Raw genomic sequence first — 26,459 nt, 5'->3', positions numbered from 1 at the left:
TTGCAACCCCTGCCTTTTTTTGTTTTCCGTTTGCTTGGTAGATCTTCCTCCATCCCTTTATTTTGAGCCTATGTGTGTCTCTGCACATGAGATGGGTCTCCTGAATACAGCACACTGATGGGTCTTGACTCTTTATCCAATTTGCCAGTCTGGGTCTTTTAATTGGAGCATTTAGCCCATTTACATTTAAGGTTAATATTGTTATGTGTGAATTTGATCCTGTCATTATGATGTTAGCTGGTTATTTTGCTCATTAGTTGATGCAGTTTCTTCCCAGCATCGATGGTCTTTACAATTTGGCATGTTTTTGCAGTGGCTGGTACTGGTTGTTCCTTTCCATGTTTAGTGCTTCCTTCAGCAGCTCTTTTAGGGCAGGCCTGGTGGTGACAAAATTTCTCAGCATTTGCTTGTCTGTAAAGGATTTTATTTCTCCTTCACTTATGAAGCTTAGTTTGGCTGGATATGAAATTCTGTGTTGAAAATTCTTTTCTTTAAGAATGTTGACTATTGGCCCCCACTCTCTTCTGGCTTGTAGAGTTTCTGCTGAGAGATCCACTGTTAGTCTGATGGGTTTCCTTTTGTGTGTACCCGACCTTTCTCTCTGGCTGCCCTTAACATTTTTTCCCTCATTTCAACTTTGGTGAATCTGACAATTATGTATCTTGGAGTTGCTCTTCTCGAGGAGTGTGGCGTTTTCTGTATTTCCTGAATTTGAATGTTGGCCTGCCTTGCTAGATCGGGGAATTTCTCCTGGATAATATCCTGAAGAGTGTTTTCCAACTTGGTTCCATTCTCTCCATCACTTTCAGGTACATCAATCAGACATAGATTTGGTCTTTTCACATAGTCCTATATTTCTTGGAGGCTTTGTTCATTTCTTTTTACTCTTTTTTCTCTAAACTTCTCTTCTTGCTTCATTTCATTCATTTGATCTTCCATCACTGATACCCTTTCTTCCAGTTGATGAAATCGGCTACTGAAGCTTGTGCATTTGTCACGTAGTTCTTGTGCCATGGTTTTCAGCTCAATCAGGTCATTTAAGGACTTCTCTACACTGGTTATTCTAGTTAGCCATTCATTCTAACATTTTTTCGAGGTTTTTAACTTCTTTGCATTGGGTTTGAACTCGCTCCTTTAGCTCGGAGTAGTTTGATCGTCTGAAGCCTTCTTCTTTCAACTCGTCAAAATCATTCTCCATCCAGCTTTGTTCCATTGCTGGCGAGGAGCTGCGTTCCTTTGGAGGGGGAGAGGTGCTCTGATTTTTAGAATTTTCAGCATTTCTGCTCTGTTTTTTCCCCATCTTTGTGGTTTTGTCTACCTTTGGTCTTTGATGATGGTGACCAACAGATGGGGTTTTGGTGTGGATGTCCTTTCTGTTTGTTAGTTTTCCTTCTAACAGTCAGGACCCTCAGCTGCAGGTCTGTTGGAGTGTGCTGGAGGGCCACTCCAGACCCTGTTTGCCTGGGTATCAGCAGCGGAGGCTGCAGAACAGCGAATATTGCTGAACAGCAAATGTTGCTGCCTGATCGTTCCTCTGGAAGCTTCGTCTCAAAGGGGTACCTGGCTGAGTGAAGTGTCAGTCTGCCCCCACTTGGGGGTGCCTCCCAGTTAGGCTACTCAGAGGTCAGGGACCCACCTGAGGAGGCAGTCTGTCCGTTCTCAGATCTCAAACTCCGTGCTAGGAGAACCACTACTCTCTTCAAAGCTGTCAGACAGGGACATTTAAGTCTGCAGGGGTTTCTGCTGCCTTTTGTTCGGCTATGCCCTACCCCCAGAGGTGGGGTCTACAGAGGCAGGCAGGCCTCCTTGAGTTGCGGTGGGCTCCACCCAGTTCAAGCTTCCTGGCCCCTTTGTTTACCTACTCCAGCCTCACCAACGGTGGGCGCCCCTCCCCCAGCCTCGCTGCCGCCTTGCAGTTCTGTCAACATTAGACAGATCAACGAGACAGAAAGTTAACAAGGATATCCAGGAATTGAACTCAGCTCTACACCAAGCGGACCTAACAGACATCTACAGAACTCTCCACCCCAAATCAACAGAATACACATTCTTCTCAGAACCACATCGCACTTATTCCAAAACTGACCACTTAGTTGGAAGTAAAGGACTCCTCAGCAAATGTAAAAGAACAGAAATTATAACAAACTGTCTCTCAGACCACAGTGCAATCAAACTAGAACTCAGGATTAAGAAACTCACTCAAAACTGCTCAACTACCTGGAAACTGAACAACCTGCTCCTGAATGACTACTGGGTACATAACGAAATGAAGGCAGAAATAGATGTTCTTTGAAACCAATGAGAACAAAGACACAACATACCAGAATCTCTGGGACACATTTAAAGTAGTGTGTAGAGGGAAATTTATAGCACTAAATGCCCACAAGAGAAAGCAGGAAAGATCTAAAATTGACACCCTAACATCACAATTAAAAGAACTAGAGAAGCAAGAGCAAACACATTCAAAAGCTAGCAGAAGGCAAGAAATAAGTAAGATCAGAGAAGAACTGAAGGAGATAGAGACATAAAAAATCCTTCAAAAAATCAATGAATCCAGGAGCTGGTTTTTTGAGATCAACAAAATTGATAGACTGCTTGCAAGACTAATAAAGAAGAAAAGAGAGAAGAATCAAATAGACATAATAAAAAATGATAAAGGGGATATCACCACTGATCCCACAGAAATACAAACTACCATCAGAGAGTACTATAAACACCTCTATGCAAATAAACTAGAAAATCTAGAAGAAATGGATAAATTCCTGGACACATACACCCTCCCAAGATTAAACCAGGAATAACTTGAATCCCTGAATAGACCAATAACAGGCTCTGAAATTGAGGCAATAATTAATAGCCTACCAACCAAAAAAAGTCCAGGACCAGACTGATTCACAGCTAAATTCTACCAGAGGTACAAGGAGGAGCTGGTACCATTCCTTCTGAAACTATTCCAATCAATAGAAAAAGAGGGAAGCCTCCCTAACTCATTTTATGAGGCCAGCATCATCCTGATACCAAAGCCTGACAGAGACACAATAAAAAAAGAGAATTTTACACCAATATCCCTGATGAACATTGATGCAAAAATCCTCAATAAAATACTGGCAAAATGAATCCAGCAGCACATCAAAAAGCTTATCCACCATGACCAAGTGGGCTTCATCCCTGGGATGCAAGGCTGGTTCAACATACACAAATCAATAAATGTAATCCAGCATATAAACAGAACCAAAGACAAAAACCACATGATTATCTCAATAGATGCAGAAAAGGTCTTTGACAAAATTCAACATCCCTTCATGTGAAAAACTCTCAATAAATTAGGTATTGATGGGCTGTATCTCAAAATAATAAGAGCTATTTATGACAAACCCACAGCCAATATCATACTGAATGGACAAAAACTGGAAGCATTCCCTTTGAAAACTGGCACAAGACAGGGATGCCCTCTCTCACCACTCCTATTCAACATAGTGTTGGAAGTTCTGGCCAGGGAAATCAGGCAGGAGAAAGAAATAAAGCGTATTCAATTAGGAAGAGAAGAAGTCAAATCATCCCTGTTTGCAGATGACATGATTGTATATCTAGAAAACCCCATTGTCTCAGCCCAAAATCTCCTTAAGCTGATAAGCAACTTCAGCGAAGTCTCAGGATACAAAATTAATATGCAAAAATCACAAGCATTCTTATACACCAATAACAGACAAACAGAGAGCTAAATCATGAGTGAACTCCCATTCACAATTGCTTCAAAGAGAAAAAAATACCTAGGAATCCAACTTACAAGGGATGTGAAGGACCTCTTCTAGGAGAACTATAAACCACTGCTCAATAAAATAAAAGAGGATACAAACAAATGGAAGAACATTCCATGCTCATGGATAGGAAGAATCAATATTGTGAAAATGGCCATACTGCTCAAGGTAATTTATAGATTCAACGCCATCGCCATCAAGCTACCAATGACTTTCTTCAAAGAATTGGAAAAAACTACTTTAAAGTTCATATGGAACCAAAAAAGAGCCCACATTTCCAAGACAATCCTAAGCCAAAAGAACAAAGCTGGAGGCATCATGCTACCTGACTTCAAACTATACTACAAGGCTACAGTAACCAAAACAGCATGGTACTGGTACCAAAACAGAGATATAGACCAATGGAACAGAAGAGAGGCCTCAGAAATAACACCACACATCTACAACCATTTGATCTTTGACAAACCTTTGAAACACAAGAAATGGGGAAAGGATTCCCTATTTAATAAATGGTGCTGGAGAAACTGGCTAGCCATATGTAGAAAGCTGAAACTGGATCCCTTCCTTACACCTTATACAAAAATTAATTCAAGATGGATTAAAGACTTAAATGTTAGACCTAAAACCATAAAAAACCTAGAAGAAAACCTAGGCAATGCCATTCAGGACATAGGCATGGGAAAGGACTTCATGTCTAAAACACCAAAAGCAATGGCAACAAAAGCCAAAATTGACAAACAGGATCTAACTAAACTAAGGAGCTTCTACACAGCAAAAGAAACTACCATCAGAGTGAACAGGCAACCTACAGAATGGGAGAAAATTTTTGCAATCTACTCATCTGAGAAAGGGCTAATATCCAGAGTCTACAAAGAACTCAAACAAATTTACAAGAAAAAAACAAACAACCCCATCAACAAGTGGGCAAAGGATATGAACAGACACTTCTCAAAAGAAGACATTTATGCAGCCAACAGACACATGAAAAAATGCTCATCACCACTGGCCATCAGAGAAATGCAAATCAAAACCACAATGAGATACCATACCACACCAGTTAGAATGGCGATCATTAAAAAGTCAGGAAACAACAGGTGCTGGAGAGGATGTGGAGAAATAGGAACACTTTTACACTGTTGGTGGGACTGCATACTAGTTCAACCATTGTGGAAGACAGTGTGGTAATTCCTCAAGGATCTAGAACTAGAAATACCATTTGACCCAGCCATCCCATTACTGGGTATATACCCAAAGGATTATAAATCATGCTGCTATAAAGACACAGGCACACCTATGTTTATTGTGGCACTATTCACAATAGCAAAGACTTGGAACCAACCAAAATGTCCATCAATGATAGACTGGATTAAGAAAATGTGGCACATATACACCATGGAATACTATGCAGCCAGAAAAAAAAGGATAAGTTCATGTCCTTTGTAGGGACATGGATGAAGCTGGAAACCATCATTCTCAGCAAACTATCTCAAGAACAAAAAACCAAACACTGCATGTTCTCACTCATAGGTGGGAACTGAACAATGAGAACACTTGGACACAAGAAGGGGAACATCACACACTGGGGCCTGTTGTGGTGAGGGGGAAGGGAGGAGGGAAAGCATTAGGAAATATACCTAATGTAAATGACAAGTTAATAGGTGCAGCACACCAACATGGCACATGTATACATATGTAACAAACCTGCACGTTGTGCACATGTACCCTAGAACTTAAAGTATAATAAAAAAAAAAATACCTGGGTAATGGGATGATCTGTGCAGCAAACCACCATGGCACACGTTTACCTATGTAACAAACCTGCACGTCCTGCACATGTATCCCAGAAATGAAAAAAAAAGTTGGAAATTTTAAAAAAGAGTTAAAATTCACATTTTCTGAAGCAGCTACCCTTTTTCTTTATTTTTCTTTCAAATTGTTTTTATCATGTATTTAGGATTACTTAGACCGAGCCAGGACAATGAGATTCAATCCTGAAATTTTTTTCAAACTTGGAAAGAGGATCTCTTTTCCATGGGATTGAAAATAGAGCTCCTGAGAACCTGCCTGATGGAGAGTGCAACATAGAGAAAAGCAGAACGAAGACACAGAGAGAAGGAGTTCCATTTTGACTTCTAGATCCAACCTTGCCTGCAGCTGAGCTTGTTCACTGAGTAAGATTATCACTATACTTTTCAGTTTTATGAGCCAATAAATCCCTCACTTTTCTTCAGCTAATTTGAATTGGTTTCTGTCTTTCACACCTAAAACAGTGCTATCAAAATGTAACAATCAAAAGTACATAGAATTTGGGATCAGACAAACTAGATTCTAATATATCTCTGATACAGTTTCCACCTCTAGAGATAATAATTCCCTCTTCCTAGGCCTGTTATGAGGATTAAATGAGATGGTATGTTAGAGATGCTCTGAATATGCTAGTTTCCTTTTTGAATTTGAGAGTTATATTGATACCACATCCTTGAGTTTTCACATAGTGTTTTCCTTTTCTGTAGTTCATTAAAAAGTACCTTATTTATACCCATATGTAAGGTGAGGTCATCTGGGCCTAAATTGAAAAGGGATAGGGGCAATTTATACAACTGGTAATGGAAAGTTTCCCTCCTACTTTCATAAGAGAATCAGTTTGGTGAGGAATATTATTTGTCTTTGGGTCATCAGACCCAAAACAGTGGCTGTGAATTTGTGTTGCTCTTCCCACAGTCTATTTCTTTTAAATTACTGTCATAATGTAATGGGAATTACATTGTGCAGGCTCTGGTCACATGATGTAGTTCCTTTTGCCTTCTCAAATGTAACCATGTGTGGAATCTCCATCATTGTCACTGAAGATTTACTTACCTTTTATGATCATACTGGATTTAAGTTAAGTACCTTGGTAATCGAACAGAATATAATTAACTAATCATTTACAGGATTACTTAGCCTAAAAACCAACACAGTAAAATACAGTAAGCATGTTTATGTCTGTTCAAATCCCATATTAATAAAGATGATCAGATTAATCAATTCAAATGCATTTTCAAGAAAATATTCCTGGCATAGAAGATTAGAAATATGCTTAAGCTAAATTTAGAATTCAGGAAAAGCAATCCTACAGCTTACTTTCCACTATTTTTTTCCCTTCAACTAAGCTCTTAAGCTAAATAAATTAAAGTCTCCCAAGATGTTTAAACAGTTTAGTCTATATTAGTATGCTATGGTTCATTATAAAATACAATTGTAAAACCATTGCCAAATTACCCTCTAATACCTGCTTAGTCATAACTGGAAATCTATAGCAAAGGCATGAATGTCCTGCTTATCTATTAATTTTAGCTTCTTATCTATAATTTTACCCCCCCCCCGAGAATCCCTCTTCCTTCACCAAATCTTATTCCTGTCTCTGACACACTGCATCACATTCATGAACCCATCTTCCCAATCTGTCAGGCAAAGGGCTGCTTTCTATTGTCTAATATTCAGTCTAAAATAATCTTGTACCTTTAAGATTTTCTTTCCTTCTTTTAAAAGCTTACCATAGTATGTTTCAAATTGTTTTGAAATTAAGAAAAGCAAGGCAATATACCTTTAAAGGTAGACAACACCTCATATGCTCATATGCATGTATTTCTTAGAGAAGTAGGACTTTTTTGTTGTTACTTTTTTATCTTAACATGGCTACTATTGTTACTTTCAGCAAGTACTATAATAATTTGCCCCACTCCACACCCTCTCATCTCTATTTCTACCAGTGTATGGCAGGATAAAACTTCAAAGTATTAATTAATAACAAAATTTTCCTCATCTCTACCAAAGCCCTCCTTTTCAGGCAGTTTTACTTAAGGATCCAATCTAAGAGAAGAAAGAGATAGAGATAGAGAACAAAAGTGTAGAAGGCAGAAATATCTGGAAAGATATAGGACAGAGTTTTTCTTAGACTCAATTTTAGAATTCTCTGGACTAGGGAGAAGGAAGAACAGAGATGAGAGAAATAAAATAGAGTGAGCTGGGATCCCACATTCTGCATCCATCCCAAGATTTGAGGGTGATAAATTGATCCTTGATAGGTTTAGGATCTTTGAACAAAAGGAGGCATGTGGCCTGCTTTCTGTCTAGACACCCAAGAGACAGCAACCCCCACAGAAGCCTAATGCTTATGGTAGTTAGGTGCTAAATACTGCGGGTTGGTCCCCACCCTTGTAAACTCTCTCTTATATCACAGGGGCTAGACGTCTGGAAACTAGATTTTCCAATTTCCCTTTTCAGCCTAATTTTAGTTCCAGACTTGCCAGTGGAAGGGACTTGCACAAGATTAAAGGGAAGTGCTGGGACACCTGGATAGCCATATGCAAAAGAATGAAGTTGGACCCCTTCCTTCCATCATACACAAAAAATAACTCAAAATGGATCTAAGATCTAATTGTACCTACTAAATCTGTAAAATTCTTAGAAGATAACATAGAGAGTAAATCTTCATGATTTCAGATTTGGCAATAGATTTTTAGATATGATACCCAAAGCACAAGCAGCAAAAGGAATTACAGGTAAATTAGACTTCATCAAAATTAAAAACTCTCATATACCAAAGGGCATTAAGAAAAAGTGGAAAGACAGACTATGATATAAGAGAAAATATTTGCAAATCATGTATCTGACAAGGTGCTTGTATCTAGAACACATAAAAAAGTATTATAACTCAATAATAAAAAGACAAATGATCCAATTAAAAACTGGGCAAAGCATCTGAACAGACATTTCTCCAAAGAAGATATACTAATGGCTAATAAGCACAAGAAAAAATATTCAATATTATTAGACATTAGGGAAATGCAAATCAAAATCACAATGGAATATCACTTCATACCCACTAAGAAGGCAATAATAAAATTTTTTTAAAAAACAGATAATAAGAACTGCCAGTGATAATGTGGAGAAATTGGAACCTTCATATATTGCTGGTGGGAATGTAAAATGGGGCAGCTGCTTTACAATCAGTATAGCAATTCTTCAAAAGGTTAGAGTTAGCATATGAACCAGCAATTCCACTCCTAAGTATACACTCAACATGTATAATTCCACACAAAACCTTGTACACAAATGGTCATAGCAATATTATTTACAATAACCAAAAAGTAGAAATAACCCAAACGTTTATTAACTAATGAATGGATAAGTAAAACATGGTATATTGATACTATGCAATATATTTAGTAATCAGACCACATGAAATATTGACACATATTACAACAAGAATGAATGAACCATAACACTGAGAACATTATGCTAAGTGAAAGTATCCATTACAAACGGCCACTTATTGTAAGATTCTATTTCTATGAAATGTCTGGATTAGGCAAACCTATACAGACAAAAAGCAGATTACTGATTGCCCAGAGCCAGACAGTGGGGTATAAGGGGATTTGGATTGAGGGGTGATGTCTAATGAGAAGGGATTTCTTTTTGGAGGTAATGAAATATTCTAAAATTTATAGTGGTGATGAATTCACAACTCTGTGAATACACTAAAGGCATTGCATTATATATTTTAAATGATTGGATTGTATGTTATATAAACTATATCTCAATAAATCTGTTTATTAAAAAATGAAAAGGAAGAAGGAAGGCAGAGGCACATCTTCTCCTGGCTTTGGCTTTGGAGCAGAGCGCCCCATAGGAACTGCACTACAGTTCCTGTACTGTACTGAACTGCACTACAGTTCCTGTTCCTACTACTGTAGGAACTACAGGAACAAATGAGAATAGTTTCAGAGGAATGAGGGATTGCGCAGTTGTGGTGTCCTGCAGGAGCAGTAGCATCTTCCTAAAGTTCCTGAGCACTGACTAACATCATATTTTCTCCCTTCCTTTTGTCTCTTTTATCCCTTCCAATAATTTTGTCACTTAACTCCCTTTGTTAAAATCCACTCTGCTCGAAATGCCTAGAGTGGTTTGTTTTCCTAACTAAATTCTGATTGGTAGTTTTACTCAGAGAATATCCATCTTCCTTGTTCTCTTCCTAATACATTTTTAAATTTTGTCCAGATACTCATCTCTCCACCACGTAGCCAACTACAACAGGAGACAATGAGTGACAGAGTTACCTCAGCTTCAGGGTTCAGCCTGATTTTGGTCTAAGAGTAATTCCATTTATCTTTCTAATAATTGGTTCAGAAATGAGCATGCGACCTAGTTATGACAATGAGACATGAAGGGAGGTTTACCAGAAACTTCTGGGAACACTCTTTATTCTTAAGTATGAATCATGAGAAACCAACCAGATATAAAAGAGAAATCCCTATTTTCTCCTTACACCTATCAAACAACCAAGACAGGAGTCTGCTTAAGAACAAAGGTGACAGGTCAGAGGCAGTGTAGAGAAACACAGAGAACCTGGGTGTTTAATTGCATTATTGAACATGTTGGATCAACACAGCCTGAAACCCACCTTACCTCTTGAATTCTTTTTTATTTTTTTTACATTTATTTATTTATTTACTTATTTATTTATTTATTTTTGAGATGGAGACTCACTCTGTTGCCCAGGCTGGAGTGCAGTGGCGTGATCTCAGCTCACTGCAACCTCTGCCTCCCAGGTTCAAGTGATTCTCCTGCCTCAGCCTCCTGAGTAGATGGGATTATAGGCACACACCACCATGCCTGGCTAATTTTTGTATTTTTAGTAGAGACAGGGTTTCACCATGTTGGCCAGGCTGGTCTCGAACTCCTGACCTCAGCTGATCTGCCCACCTCAGTCTCCCAAAGTGCTGGGATTACAGGCATGAGCCACCGTGCCCGGCCACCTCTTGAATTCTTATACAGTATAAGCTAGTTTCACTTAGGTAGTTTAAGATAAGTTTCTTGTTATTCACAGCTGGAAACATGTTAACTGACACCCTGAAATACCATGACACGGCAGTCTCTCTAGGCAGAGAGGGCTTGAGACAACTTCCCAGTTTCCCATGGTTCCAGAGTGGCACAAGACATCATCCAAAAGTTACCCCTAAAAGCTGAGCAATTTAGCTGAGAGGGGGCTGATATACCTGGAGGGGTCTTGCAGCCATGATTAGGGGATACAGCAGTATAAGCCACACAAAACCAGAAACACTGTAGGAATGTGGACATTATATTGGATATCACAACAGCAGGATAATGACAACCAGGAACCAGATAGTTTCTAGGTCACAGCAAATTCCACACAGGACAGATGATGTCCTGAGACCACACTCTCCCCCCTTTGACATTTCAGTGCAACTCAAGGACCCATCATCCCTCAGACCTTGCAAGAATGAAGAATGGACTCTGTTAATTTTCTACCACCAAATAGAATGGAAGCTCAAAATAGAGACTGTTAGATCATGGAAAAATAAAAAGTTACAGACTGAGAAGATCATAGCCCTAGAAGTGTATATCCCAATTATACAGAACTAGGTCTTTGGCCTGGGAGTGGCAGATGATTATTTTGATCATCTTGAGCATTGCCTCCCCCATTCTGTGTTTACCAATCCTGCATCATGGAGGGTCACAATCAGCCTCACTGTATCCTCCTCTGCTGCCTATTCTCATCTGGAATTGTTCAGATTTCAAGCTCAGATCATCTCATAAATGTAAATTATATTGTAATGGGCTCTTGGACACAGCTAAGATCAGAAGTCTTACTGTATAACTGTGGCACCCTCAGCCATTCTCCAATGACCCTCACCACCATAGTCGCCTTGATCAAAAGATGGATATATAACTAGGTGTCTCAGTCTGTTTTGTGTTACTATAAGAGAATACCATAGACTGGGTAGTTTGTAGTGAACAGAAATTTATTTCTCAAAGTTCTGGAGGCTGGGAAGTTCAAGATCAAGGACCTGTAAACTGCAAGCTGCCTTCTTGTTACATCACACATGATGAAATGCATCACATGGCAGAAGGACAAAAAGAGGACAGGAGAGAGCAAGAGAGAGCAAATCCATTACTGAAATTACAGCATTAGTCCGTTCATTAGGGTGGAACACTCATAACCTAAATACCTATTAGAGGCCCCACCTTCCAGTACCATCACAATGGCAATTAAATTTTGACATAAGTTTTGGAAGAAACAAACAAACCTTAGCACTAGGTAAGGGAAGCTCAGAGAAATGTCTATAAATTTTGTCCTACAATCCTATTTTTTCTTTGTGTATCTTTCAAAGTAATATTGCTCCAAATTTGAAGCAAAAAAATCAAATAATTACTAATGGATGATATTCAACTCAAAATTGCTCTAACTTGGAACATGAAAGTACTTATAACTCTGTTCTATAATTAATTTTGTAGAATTTAAGGTACAGTGCTTGAATCCACTACTACCATTACATAATTCCTTATTTCTTTATTTTCTTCATCCTCATTTGTATTCCAAACTCTTAAAACCAATCTCATTTTCTCAGTGTTGTCATAGATTACCCCAAAGAGAGAATGACTGATGCTAACATAAAAGTCACTTGGTCTCAATTCTGAGATTAGGAAAATTTTTTCATGCTTTTATTCCAGCAGGAAGAGAATTTGCTATGCAAGCAAGAATACTGAGCACAATTGGAAATTAAAGCTAAGTATCAGATTGATGGGTCTCCATCTGATTCATATTGTCACCCATCTATTTAAACAATTTAAACCCATGGACTTGCAGAAAATAGTTTCATCACTATGTTACAGATATTCTTTAGTTGAGCACTTGATAGCAAATGTTATTCAAATAGTAGAAACAAATCTTAATTTTTAATAAATGTGAAAAAATAAGTCTGTTTACTCTTTGTGACAGCTCTTACCACTTTCAAATATATAAGTAATATTTAGCAATTATGTACATACCTATTTCTAAGAAATCTAAGTTAGAATTATACATTTTTTTGTCTCCAAAAAGTTGAGTTTCTGCCTAGGTCAGTTTGCTAAGAACAAAGCTTTCTTATAATGCTTGAAAGTGTTGGGGGTACAGAAAAAGATACCCCTAATATGGCACTCAGGACTTCCTGAGACTATCACAGGCATGTCCCTAACCTTGGCAAAATAAACATCTAAATTGATTGAGACTTTTCTCCCTTGGCAAAATAAACGTCTAAATTGATTGAGACTTTTCTCAGATACTTTTTGGTTTACAAAGGTAATCCTTTTTATTTGCCCTGCTGAGGCACAAGAAGCAGTACCACAAAATATGGCGCTTGTCATGCTGAGTTCTTTGAATCAAAGAAAATTGAAAAGCCTCAGAAATAAGCCACAGAACCAGTCTCTCTGACCTTCCCCCAAAGCCCTGTCTGGTATTCTCTTTCTTTCCCAAAGAACCAGGAGGGATTCTCTCTGGAATTTCCTTATTTGACTAAGAAAGCTTTTTTTTTTTTTTTTTTAATAAAAAGAAATGCAATTGTCTTAAGACTCTCCCCTAGGAATCTCATCAAATAGCCAGGAAAGATTAACCACTGGAGAAGAGTCAATTCCCACAGAGAAGGGACTGGGAGTCACACCCACACACAGACAGACTTTTCATCTATAAGAAGTAGCTCCAAGAGATTAACTGGGAGACTCTATCTGCATAAGACAACCTTTGCTCACAATGAAGTTCTGCCTCTCACCTTGCAGCCACTTCCTCCAGAGCTCACAGGAACTTTGCCCAAGGCCATTGTTCTTGGGACTCATTCATTTCCCCTGCAAATCATTTACTCCTATACCCTACTCCCCATCTCCCTCTTCCTTATGAAGAAGAGTATATAACCAACTGGACCTCATGGGATTAGGGCAATCACTGTCCTGTGATTCTCCCCAGGGCACATTAAATAAATTTTGTATGGCTTTTTCTCCTGTTAATCTTCCTTTCATCAGTTTATTTTCAGTGAGTTTTCAGAGGGTGAAGGGGAAGCTTTCCCTCTTCTACCCTACAAAGCTTTATTTTTAATATTTCTATAAAATGTTGACTTACAAACTTGCAATTAGACCATGTGATATAAGTTACTATGGTTAAAGAAAAACATATTCATGACACTTGTTAAAGCAGACTTTACTCAAAGCAAGGGAGCCCTTAGCAACAGGTATAGGGACCACAGTAATAGGGTCTCACTGCAAGGGAGAGAGATCAAACTCAACTCTGACTTCAGTAAGAACAAGTGGGGATTTATGACCATGGAGCAGGATTGTGGGGGTGGTCAGTCGAAGGAAAATTACTAAAAGAAAACATCAAGGATAAAGGATATCCTTGAGGAAACATCAATAATAAACATCAGGGATAATTATTAACAGGAAACATCAAGGACTATCTCCTTTGGTCAAAACGACTGTTGTAAAAAACTGTGTATGTTAACTTAAAATTATAAACTAAGTTTGTCATCACAGGTTGTTTTTACTCACCAACTTAATGAGAATTAATCCATTTGAATATCACCTGATCAAGCTCAAATTATTCCAATCTGTGTAAATAGATTGGAGGAAATTTTTTTTAACATTTCTTAACATTTAAAAACACAGCTTGTAAATATGTATTTAAAGAAAAGGGTCTAACAGATTAATTTTAAAACACAATACCAGGTACAGTTTTAACTTACAGGCACAGATGACTGCAGAGGCTTCCAGGCTTTGGTTAGGGCAGTCATGGGAGCCCAGATTTCCCAGAGGATACCAGTGGTTGGTTTGAGCTGGGGGATGCAGAAGCAACAGCAGTTTTCTCTGGTGCCTGTTGGGGCAGTGGCAGTAGCATTTCCTCCCTAGGTCAGTTCTGTAGCACAGTTCCCTGGAATCTACTCAATAAAGTGCTCCCCACAAACAAGGTTGTAAACCATGAAAGAGGAAGACATAGAATCCAACAAATGGGAGCTCCAACATCAAAAAAGGAGGTTGTGTTCCCAGGATGACAATAAAGGAATGTCCTGAAACACAGCAAGACAGTAAGACTAGAAAGAGACGAATCCATTGTGGAGTGGAAGGATGGATTCAAAATCCATATTTTCAAGAACTGGAGTTCTCAGATTTTCCTTAAGTGCTTGAATGTATTAAGAGGTTCTTATTTTCATTCTTACTCTCTCCTCCCCTTTAGCTCTATCCATTGTATTGAAACCACCTTTGCAAAGTTTATGGCAGTGAGAGAAATGTAGCATGGCTAAATCCATCTTGCTTCTAGCTTCATAGGCTGGCTGTCCTCACTCATTCCTGGGTGTAGGCCAAGCAAGGATGATAATAGTCCTTCCCTAAAACTGCCCCCCTCCTTGTCTGGGGACTGAAATTGCCTTTGTAAGACTATTGAAAGGCTATGAGATTAGGATTATAAGATGGGCCTGAATTTTGCTAAAATGTAGGCATAGTTAAATGATAACCAGTCATTGTTCCCTAGCTTGCTTTTCTGTATAATCCCTTGCCGCTCAGTTGTCACGAGGCCAGAGGTCACAAGATTTGTGACTTCCTCAATTGCCCCTATAGATAACATCACTATTGTAAAACCTAAGATTGGTCTTTTGAGATGATTTTCAGACTTTTGCATTCTGGCAACCAACTGACTCCACCTGGACCTGTGACTCATGATTCAACCAGTCCTGCAGCCCCCACCCAGAGGCTGACTCAGTACATAAAGACTGTCTTCCACATTCCTATGATTTCATCCCCAACCAATCAACAGCACTCATTCCCTGGCCCCCTGCCCACCAAATTATCCATACAAACCATAGCCTCTGAGTTCTCAATGAGGCTGATCTGAGTAATAAATTCCCATCTTCTGCTTGGCTAGTTCTACATTAATTAAACTCTTTCTCTACTGCAATACCACTGTCTCAGTGAGTTGGTTTTATCTGTGCAGGGGGCAAAAAGAACCTGTCAGGTGATTACGATATCAATATCAATAACAAAGCAACTTTTTTTTTTTTTCAGATGGAGTCTCACTTTGTCACCCAGGCTGTAGTACAGTGGCGTGATCTTGGCTCACTGCAACCTCCGCCTCCTGGGTTCAAGCAATTCTCCTGCCTCAGCCTCCCAAGTAGCTTGGATTACAGGCATGCACCACCACACCCGGCTAATTTTTGTATTTTTAGTAGAGACGAGGTTTCGCCATGTTTGCCAGGCTGGTCTTGAACTCCTGACCTCAGGTGATCACCCACCTCAGCCTCCCAAAGTGCTAGGATTACAGGTGTGAGCCACTGCACCCAGCCACAATGCAACTTTTAAAAAATGAAATAATTATTAGCTTTTCTGGAAAAGCTTTATCTCTTTTAACCTATGAAAAGTATTAATATTTGTCATAAAAAAAGCTTTTGCATTTTTTAGAAGAAACAGTGCTTCATTTCTATTATAAAAGGAAATTGTAGAATATTGTGAGACTCACCTGTGAATGCTATTTATATAGACACTATAATTTTAACACTGTATATGAATAGAACCAAAGAAGATTAAATGATTGTGCATTTGTGTAGGGTGTATTTGAGTTGGGGGACGGAGACTGGTTGGGGTTTGAGGAGTGGTTAAGAAAACTAAATCTTATCTTCAATAGTAGGAAGTCAATAGATAATATTCAAAACTGAAAAAGAAAAACAAAACTTAAATAGCAGAAAAATCTGCTTATTTGAAAATATGGATGTAAATACCAGTAAAAACTGCTTAAACTGTTGGAAATTTTTTACTTTGGAAATGGGAATCAGAAGCTAGAAAGTGCAAAGCTGTAGATTGCTGTTATAAGCTAGTAGAACTCAGCATAAAGTGAATATGTATGACTTTGACAAAAATAAAAATAAAAATTTTAAATAAGAACTATTTTTCAATTTTTTCTCAAATTACATTATTGTTTTTTATTAGAATTGAATTGAGTTTATAGAAAGATAATTTAAGGAGAACTGACATCTTTCTAATTCTGAGTATTTTCCTCTAGAAACATGGTTGAGACTTCTTTTCTATTCTCAAAAAAAGTTTATCATTTTCTTGTTATAAGTCCTGTGAATTTTCTGTTATTTTTGCCTGGGCCTGCTATATCATTTTTGCTATTATAATGACATCCTTTTCCATTATATACATATGATAACTGGCTGTTTCTAGTGTGCAGGAAAGCTCTATATTTTTCTTGTAACTTGACACCTGACCAAATGCCTCTCTCTATCTCCTAATACTTTTTCAACTCATTATCTTCAGTTTTCTATGTAGAGAATCATATAAATGTATAAATAACTATAATTGTGTATTATAATTTTCTTTTCCAATGTATATGACATTTCTTTTATATAGCCTATTGCATTGGTTAGTACTTATTAAACACAGCTTTAATAATCATAATAATTGATTGTATTGCTTCCAACTTGAATAGGAATACTCCTGGTTTTCCCTAACATGAATATTATTTTCTATTGCTATCAGATAGAAGCTTGATTATCTATTTCTTTCATATCTAGGACTTCCCCTATCTAAACACTCCTTCATACTTTATCATATTTGTATTTGCCTCTATACCAGAATTTAGAATAATCCCTGGCTCAATAAATTTTTTTTAAACAAATAGATCAATAGGTGGAAAAGTCACCTCTAGACAATCACATGCTTTGTCTCTTTTAACCTATGAAAAGCATTAATATTTGTCAAAGTGTTAAATCACTTTTGCATTTTTAGAAGAAACAGTACTTCGTTATTAACTGGATTTTTCAGCACTTTATTTTAAATGTTTGTATCCGTGTTTATGAGTATGAATTGTAGTGTTGTGTTATCCCTATGTTATCTTTGTCAAATTTGGCTTCATGATTATGCTAGCCATATTAAATGAATTAAAATTCATCACTCTGTCTCAAAAAAAAAATTCATGTCTTTGCGCTGAAACAGTGCTAAAGTCATAGGAATTAGATATTAAGAGCATTTGTCAAGAAAACAACCTGCCTCCTGGTCTTTCTTTGAGATCTTCAGTAGCTATTCTTCTATTATGTTTCATTGTCCTTTATTATACAAGATGTGTATAAGTGGACTTTCATCATAGAAAGTTAAAACTATACCTAATTGAAAAGACTAAAAATGCAGTCTGTCTCTCTCACCCTATCCCACCCATCCCCAGAGTTAACCACAATTAACAATTTAGTACTTTTATTTTCATTATTTTTCCTACACCCTCACATATTTATATGTAAACACAACGTGCAAGTATATGTGCATTAATACATGTGTAAAGAATAAATAGAGCTATTCTGAAACTACTCTTTCACTTATTCCTTGAAAAGCTTTTCACATATATATTATAAATGATATGAAACTATATGTACTTCATCCTTTTTAATAGCTGCATAGTATTCAACATTATGGCTTTACCATACACTCTTTAACTACTCTTCTACTATGAGTATTTGGATGTTTCCCTCTTTTCACTATCATGAACAAACCTGCCATGATCATTCTTGTACATAGACTTTTAGGCCCACTGCATGCAAAATATTCTTCAGAATAAGATCATAAATGTGGAATAACTAAGTAAAAAAAAAAGGCAGTTTTAATCTTAATAGATAGTAAAAAAATTTTCTCCAAAAAGATTTTGTCTTCTTATCCTCCTACCAATAAGGTATCATTGTGTTAATCTATCATATCCTTACTAACCCTGGGTATTATAAAGCTTCTATAATTTTGTTAATCTGATTAGTGAAAATTGATTAAAATGTATCACATTAATTTACATTTATCTGATTACCAATGAGGTTGAATATTTTGTAGGGTTTATTGAACATTTGTATTTCTTTTTCTATAAATTGCTTTTTAATATCCATCATTCATTTTTCTATTGGAGGGATTGTTATTTTCCTATTGATGCTTACTGATATTAATCCTTTGCTAATATAATGCAAATATATATCCAGGCTGAAGGTTGTCTATTATGTTACTACGTCTTTTGCATGCAGAAGTTTCCTTTTAAATTTTAATGTATTTAAATATTTGATTATTTTCCTTTATGGTTTTAATGTTTTATATCTTACTTCGATAGGCTTTCTTTACCCCAAGCTTATATTTTTTCTGCAGCTATGTCTAGTACTTTTATGTTTGGCTTTTTGGGTATGGTTTAAGGCATATGTCTAAATGTATTTCTTTCAAAATGGATAACCAATCACCCCTAACTGTATTGCTTTGAAAATGGATAACCAAGCTTCACCCTAATTTGTAAAGTAATTCATTTTCCTACTTAATTGTTTGCCATTTTTATTATTAATAGCAGCAAGCACTTACGTAGTTCTGACCACATTTCAGGCACTCTTCTAAGTGCTTTCTGTATATTAATGTATTTAATCTTCACAACAACCATAAGACGTAGGTAGTATAATGATCCCTCTTTTACGCATAAGGAAACCAAGGCACAAAGAGTTTAAGTAACTTCAAGAACGCACAGCTACTGTGTGGCCTGGCTTGAGATCCAGTGCTCTTTACTATACTAAACCCTGATGTGCATACTGCTCCTCCTAGATTCCATCCAATCTTATTAACCAATATCTCTGCCTATACCTGCGCAAACCCTATACTTTTATATTTTCAAATTTGTTTTAATTTTTGAAAGACAAGTTTCCCTCATTTTTTCTTCTAGGAGTTTTCCAGGTTACTTGCTATTTTGTCTACCATTTGACCAATAAAATAGCATGTTAAGTTTCATAAATAATGATTAGGATTGCATTACATTTCTAAATTAACTTGAGGAGGACTGATATCTCAACAAAAATTGTCTTCTGTTTAGAAAAGTCCTGCATATCTGCATTATTGGATTTTTTTCTATATTTTACAGTTTTCAACATATGAATCTTACAACTGTTAGGGTTTTTTATTATTATTGTAAATAGGTTTTTTTCTCTGTTTCATTCTTTAGTATATTATTGATAATATATAGGAAAGCATTGATTTTTTTCTATGTTAATTTTGTATCTGTCGTACTGAATTTTACTGATTCTAATAATTTTTTCAGATAATTCCTTGGATTTGCATGGCAATCTTTAGTTTCCAAATAATTATATCTGTGTCTTTTCTTTATAATATTTATGTGTCATGTTATTCTTTTTTGGTCTGTATATATTTGCATTGGTTAGAGTTAGGACCTCTATTACAAGGTTAAAAGACAACAGTTCTGGCAGCAAGTTTATCTTGTCTCTAACTTTAGTAGGAATGTTTCTAATGATTTACATCACACATGGTGTTTGTTCTTGTTTTATGCTAATCTTTATTAGTTCAATGAAGTTTCCTTCTATTGCTAGCTTACCAACACTTATTGTTTACTTGTTTTTAATCACAAATGATTATTGAATTTTAGCAAATACATTTTTGCCCATATTGAAATGTCATAAATTTTTTTTATCTATTTATATAGTAAATTATATTAATGGATTTTCTTGTGTTGAGTCATCCTTGTATTAATAATAGCTACATTTAATGTATTCTTCCTATGTGCCAGAAATGATGTTAAACATAGTTATTAGGTAAATACACGTTTAAGATTACTGTCTCTTCTTGACAAACTGATCTTTCTTATGAAAGTTTTTTTAATCTATAGTAACAATCCTCATCTTGAAGTCTATTTTGCCCAATATTAACATAGCCACATAAGTTTTATTCATGGTTACTATTTGTATGGTATATATTTGCTATCGTTTAAATGGGCCCCCAAAAAGCATGTGTTGGAAACTTAATTACCATTTTAATAGTATTAAGAGGTAAGACCATTAAGAGGTAATTAGGCCATGAGGGCTCCTCCCTCATAAATGAATCAACGCTGTTATCACAGGAGTGGGTTTGCCATAAAGGGGTAAATTTGCATTCCTCCTTTCACTCTTCTGCCATGTGAACAACAGTGTTGCCTCCTCTGTTGGATGCAGTATTCAAGATGACATCTTGGAGTTGGAGACCAGAACCTCACAGACACTAAACCTGCTGCTGCCTTGATCTTAGACTTCTCAGCCTCCAAAACGGCAATAAATAAATTTTTATTCTTTATAAATTACCCAGTCTCAGGGATTCCACAGCACAAAACAGAATAAGCCACAATTTTTTATGTCTTTCCTTTCAACCTAGCTGTGTGGTTTTATTTAAAGAGACTTTCTTACAGACAGCTTTTAGTTGGCTCCTGTTTTTATATCCAGTCCAATAATCTCTGCCTCATAATTGTAATATTTAGTACATTTACATTCAATGTAATTAAATGGTTGACTTTAATTTTACTATCTTGCAGTTCATATTCTATTTGTTCCATCTCATGTTTGTATGTTTGTTTCTTTTATTTGTCCTTTTCTACCTTCTTAAATCAATGAAATATGATTTAGTACTCTATTTTATTGCCTCTATCTCTATTGGGTATTTCTCTCTTCTCCTCCTCCTCCTCCTCCTCCTTCTTCTTCTCTCTCTCTCTCTGTGTGTATGTATTAGTGATTGCGCCAGGGATTATAGTATATATTTTTAACTTATCACAGTCTACTTCTAATTAATACTGTAACACTTCACATAGAATATAAGAATCTTCCAACAGTAGAATCCCATTTACCCCACCCAATTTGTAATGCTATTGTCATTTTTACTATTACATATATTAGAAATGCCACAACACAGTACCCAAGCCACAACGCATTATTATTTTTGCTTGAACCAGTCAATTATGTTTTAAAGAAATTTAAAGGTGAGAAAATAAAATTTATTCATATTTGCCCACGTTTACCATGTCCAATGATCTTCATTCCTTCCTATAGTTCTAAGTTTTATCTTCAGCTTGATGAACTTTCTTTAGCATTTCTTTTAGTACCATGGCTATTGTGGACAAATAGTTTCAGTTTACATTAATTTAAATTTTTTTTTTTTTACTTTTCAATCTTGAAGAATACTTTAAAAGACATACTGCTTTGGTGTTTTTAGATCTGCAGATTGATTTTTTTTTTCACCAAGTTCACCTTTCGTTATTATTTCTTGGAATAGTTCTGATTCATTCTCCTTTCCCTTTTCTTCTGAGACTTCCCTACATATGGGACAACTGATATTATCCCACAAGATTCTGAGGCTCTATCCATGTTTTAAAATATATTTTCTCTTTGTTTTTCCATTTTGTTATCTTCCATCATTGTGTTTTTCAATTCTCTGATCTTTTATTCTGCATTATCCAATCTCCTCTTGAGCCACTGAGGGAAATTATTACTTCTAGTATTTTTAGTTAGGTATTTTTTATACCCTGCTTTTCTCTTTTGAGATTTCCTACCTGTCCATTCATTACATTCATGTTTTCATTTAAATCTTTGAACATGTGTATAAACATTGTTTTAAAAACTGTGTTCTAACTCCAAAATCTGAATCATCTCAGGATCTCTTTCTATTGTATTTTTTTAAATCTTTGTTATGGGTCATATTTTCCTGGTTCTTTGCCTCTATAGTAATTTTCTATTGCACATAAAATGTTGCAAATGATCTATTATACACAGTTTGGATTATATTGCCTCCCTTTTAAAAGTATAATATTTTGTTCTGGCCAGCAACTACACAACTGGCTCATTCTCTTGATCCTTCAGGCTTCATTTTATGCTTTGTTTGGGCTAGGCTATACCCCTTTTTTACTTAAATCCCTAGATATGATCATAGTCCTTGTTTCTATAGAGTGGTTTCAACTAAATGACTGACGCATATGGTGAAGTCTTTCCATTATAGCTGGGCTAAGACTGCAATATCTCTTAGCAGTGCAGATCTCTGGCATTTCCTTTCCTTTGTTAGCTCCTTTGCAGCTTCTACTTTTCAGAATTGGGAGGTCTTGCAGAATCTCGACCTGACGTGTAAAGCCCACACCAGCTCTCAGCCAAAAAGCTAAGAAGAATATCTACACAGACTTCTGGGACTTTTCTTCTTTACTGCTTCTCCCTCTCTGGAATCCTACCCTGCAAATTCCAGCTTTCTCTAGAGCCCTGTGTTACCATTTCTGCCCCCTCAGCTCAATCAGACTAATGATCTTCACTTGGTCTCCATTTCTCTGTGCCCCACATTCAGGAAAGTGCTCCCAGATATAAAATGTGGTGCTTGCCTCATGTTATTTCTGTCTCTCTAAGACTCTAATCCTACACTGCCAATTTTCCAATGCCTAAAATGGTCACTTTACATATTTTCTTTCATTGTAGTGTGAGGGTAAATCCAACAGCAGTTACTCCATTATGGCCTGTAAATAAAGTTGCATAGATAAATCAAATTCATGAGCTTTTTATTCCTTCTGTCTTACTTCATAGATTCTTTAAATTTTTCTTCTTCTTCTTCTTCTTCTTCTTCTTCTTCTTCTTCTTCTTCTTCTTCTTCTTCTTCTTCTTCTTCTTCTTCTTCTTCTTCTTCTTCTTCTTCTTCTTCTTCTTCTTCTTCTTCTTCTTCTTCTTCTTCTTCTTCTTCTTCTTCTTCTTCTTCTTCTTCTTCTTCTCTCTCTTTCTCTCGCTCTCTCTCCCCCACCCCCCAACCACACACACACTTTGCTGTCTTTTGGAATAATAATACTTTCTGTGAGTTTTTTTTTCTCCTCTAATGGTCTCATTTAAAATTTGTTTTGTCTAAAATTTTGTAAAACATGTTTTAATTTATTCTCCATCAATGTTAAGAACCCAGAAACATATATAGACCCTTCTTTTTCAAGCTGAAAACTATCATGCTTTACTTCCTCTTTCCCTACCTCTCTCTTCATCTCACACCTCCAGGGAACTTTAGGTCATTCATTTATGTATGTATGGTGTGTCTATATATATATATATATATATATTCTTTTTATACATATATTATTATATATTATTTATTATATATAATATAATCATATATTATTGTATAATATATACTATTATATAGTATATATTATTGTATAATATATACTATTATATAGTATATATTATTTTAAACATTTATAAATTATATGTAATAGTATATATTATCTATTATTTTAAATATTTATAAATATTATAAATTATATATAAATATAATTTATAAATATTTTATGTAAATATAAAATATATGTTTTAAATCTAAATTTTATATATGTATATCTTTTCAAAATTTATTGTTGTAAATTTCACTTAGTTTCACAACCACATTACAAACTACTCTTTAGACTTAAATCTAAGTTTTCATTGCTCACCATTTTTTTTTTAATTATACTTTAAGTTCTGGGATACACGTGCAGAATGTGCAGGTTTGTTACATAGGTATACATGTGCCATGGTAATTTGCTGCACCCATCAACCCATCATCTACATTAGGCATTTCTCCTAATGCTATCCCTCCCCTTGCTCCCCACCCCGCAACAGGCCCTGGTGTGTGATGTTCCCCTCCCTGTACCCATATATTCTCATTGTTCAACTCCCACTTATGAGTGAGAACATGCGGTGTTTGGTTCTCTGTTTCTGTGTTAGTTTGCTGAGAATGGTGGTTTCCAGCTTCATCCATGTTCTGGCAAAGAACATGAACTCATTCTTCTTACGGCTGCATAGTAGTCTATGTTGTATATGTGCCACATTTTCTTTATCCAGTCTATCATTGATGGGCATTTGGATTGGTTCCAAGTCTTTGCTATTGTGAACAGTGCTACAATAAACATACATGTGCATATATCTTTATAGCAGAATGATTTATAATCCTTTGAGTATATACCCAGTAATGGGATTGCTGGGTCAAATGGTATTTCTGGTTCTAGATCCTTGAGGAATCGCCACATTGTCTTCCACAATGATTAAACTAATTTACACTCCCACCAACAGTGAAAAAGCATTCCTATTACTCCACATCCTCTCCAGCATCTGTTGTTTCCTAACTTTTTAATGATCACCATTCTAACTGGCGTGAGATGATATCTCATTGTGGTTTTGATTTGCATTTCTCTAATGACCAGTGATGATGAGCTTTTTTTCATATGTTTGTTGGCTGCATAAATGTCTTCTTTTGAGATGTATCTGTTCATATCCTTCACCCACTTTTTGATGGGGTTGTTTTTTTCCTGTAAATTTGTTTAAGTTCCCTATAGATTCTGGATATTAGCCCTTTGTCAGATGGATAGTTTGCAAAACTTTTCTTCCATTCTCTAGGTTGCCTATTCACTCTGATGATAGTTTCTTTTGCTGTGAAGAAGCTCTTTAGTTTAATTAGATTGCATTTGTTAATTTTGGCTTTTGTTGCCATTGCGTTTGGTGTTTTAGTCATGAAGTCTTTGCCCATGCCTATGTCCTGAATGGTATTGCCTAGGTTTTCTTCTATGGTTTTTATGGTTTTGGGTCTTATGTTTAAGTCTTTAATCCATCTTGAGTTCATTTTTGTATAAGGTGTAAGGAAGGGGTCTAGTTTCAGTTTTCTGCATATTGCTAGCTAGTTTTCCCAACACCATCTATTAAATAGGGAGTCCTTTCCCCATTCCTTGTGTTTTGTCAGGTTTGTCAAAGATCAGTTGGTTGTAGATGTGTGGCATTATTTCTGAGGCCTCTGTTCTGTTCCATTGGTCTATATATCTGTTTTGGTACCAGTAGCATGCTGTTTTGGTTACTATAGCTTTGTAGTGTAGTTTGAAGACAGGTAGTGTGATGCCTCCAGCTTTGTCCTTTTTGCTTAGGATTGTCTTGGCTATACGGGCTCTTTTTTGGTTCCATATGAAATTTAAAATAGTTTTTTTCTAATTCTGTGAAGAAAGTCAATGGTAGCTTCATGGGGATAGCATTGAATCTATACATTACTTTGGGCAGCATGGCCATTTTAACAATATTGATTCTTCCCATCCATGAGCATGGAATGATTTTCCATTTGTTTGTGTCCTCTCCTATTTCCTTGAGCAGCTCACTGCTATTTTTTAAACATGTCTTTACATTTCTAAAATTCTTTATTTTGATTAGCTTTTTCTTAAAGGTATACTTTGTTTTTTTGTTTTTTGTTTTTTTAAAAGTATACGTGAGTCATACAATTTCTGAATTCTTGCAAATCTGAACCAGGCTTTGATTTGCCTTGCATTTTGACAATAGCTTGGTTTAGTATATAATTATTGGAACATAATTTCTTTTCTTCAGAAGTCACACATTTTCTCTCAGGTTTTCTAATGTTAGTGTTGCAAATAAGAAGTCCAATGTCATTTAAACTTGTGGGGTGGGGGGTGACATTTTTTCCTAGTTGGCTGCTTCTAGCATTTGTTCTTTATCCAGAATATGGTGAACCACCTGAATATGGCTTTTTTTCATTATGCCTGCCCAGTCTTCAGTAAGCTTTCTCTATGTGAAGACTGAATTCTTCAACTTGGAAAAAATGCCTTCTTCTGTTTCTTTGGCTATTGCTTTCATTCATCCATACAGTTTTCTCCTTCTGGAACTCCTGTGATAATGATACCATTTCTTTTCTTTTTTTTTTTTTTTTCGGAGTCTCGCACTGTCACCTGGGCTGGAGGCTGCAGTGCAGTGGCACGATAGCCCAATAATACTATTTCTTTTGCTTTCATCTTTCCTGCCTCTTGACTGTCTTCTAAATTGCCAGTTCTTGAAATTTATGCCCTACATTCTGGAAGAATTTTTTTTTTTTTTTTTTTTTTGGACAGAGTTTCTCTCTTGTTGCCCAGGCTGGAGTGCAATGGTGCAGTCTTGGCTCACTGCAACCTCCACCTCCTGGGTTCAAGCTATTCTCCTGCCTCAGCCTCCCAGGTAGTTGGGATTACAGGCATGCACCACCATGCCCAGCTAATTTTGTATTTTTAGTAGAGACGGGGTTTCTCCATGTTAGTCAGGCTGGTCTTGAACTCCCAACCTCAGGTGATCC

General features: G+C 36.4%; 2 protein-coding genes across 5 annotated transcripts in view, besides 1 other annotated feature; one reads left to right on the top strand and one right to left on the bottom strand.

The window, feature by feature from the left end:
• The window catches only part of LOC105379199 (uncharacterized), a 37,642-nt gene extending 21,146 nt beyond the window's left edge, over positions 1-16,496 (top strand). For 2 of the 3 annotated variants that reach the window (XR_007058922.1, XM_047417987.1), the window contains exon 3: positions 5,713-5,988. Coding sequence is in view for 1 of the 3 variants with exons in the window: in XM_047417987.1 (XP_047273943.1) it covers positions 5,713-5,753 (41 nt within the window). In the remaining 2 variants the exon portion in view is untranslated. Of the gene's footprint in view, positions 1-5,712; positions 5,989-15,623 lie in introns of those variants that run through there. The other variant, XR_007058921.1, reaches the window with a different exon arrangement.
• The window catches only part of MEGF10 (multiple EGF like domains 10), a 231,923-nt gene that overhangs the window by 190,792 nt on the left and 14,672 nt on the right, over positions 1-26,459 (bottom strand). The gene's annotated exons all lie outside the window — the stretch shown is intronic.
• Positions 14,519-15,718: an enhancer, noted in NCBI's record as "P300/CBP strongly-dependent group 1 enhancer chr5:126590405-126591604 (GRCh37/hg19 assembly coordinates)". NCBI's record gives its function as "activates an origin of replication core promoter dependent on BRD2, BRD4, P300/CBP, MED14 and CDK7 cofactors, with strong dependence on P300/CBP, by STARR-seq in HCT116 cells {active_cell/tissue: HCT116}" and the evidence as "EXISTENCE:reporter gene assay evidence [ECO:0000049][PMID:35650434]".

The sequence above is a fragment of the Homo sapiens genome, chromosome 5, assembly GCF_000001405.40.
Source record: "Homo sapiens chromosome 5, GRCh38.p14 Primary Assembly".
Classification (NCBI taxonomy): domain Eukaryota; kingdom Metazoa; phylum Chordata; class Mammalia; order Primates; family Hominidae; genus Homo; species Homo sapiens.
This window is presented reverse-complemented; position numbering and strand designations above follow the sequence as displayed.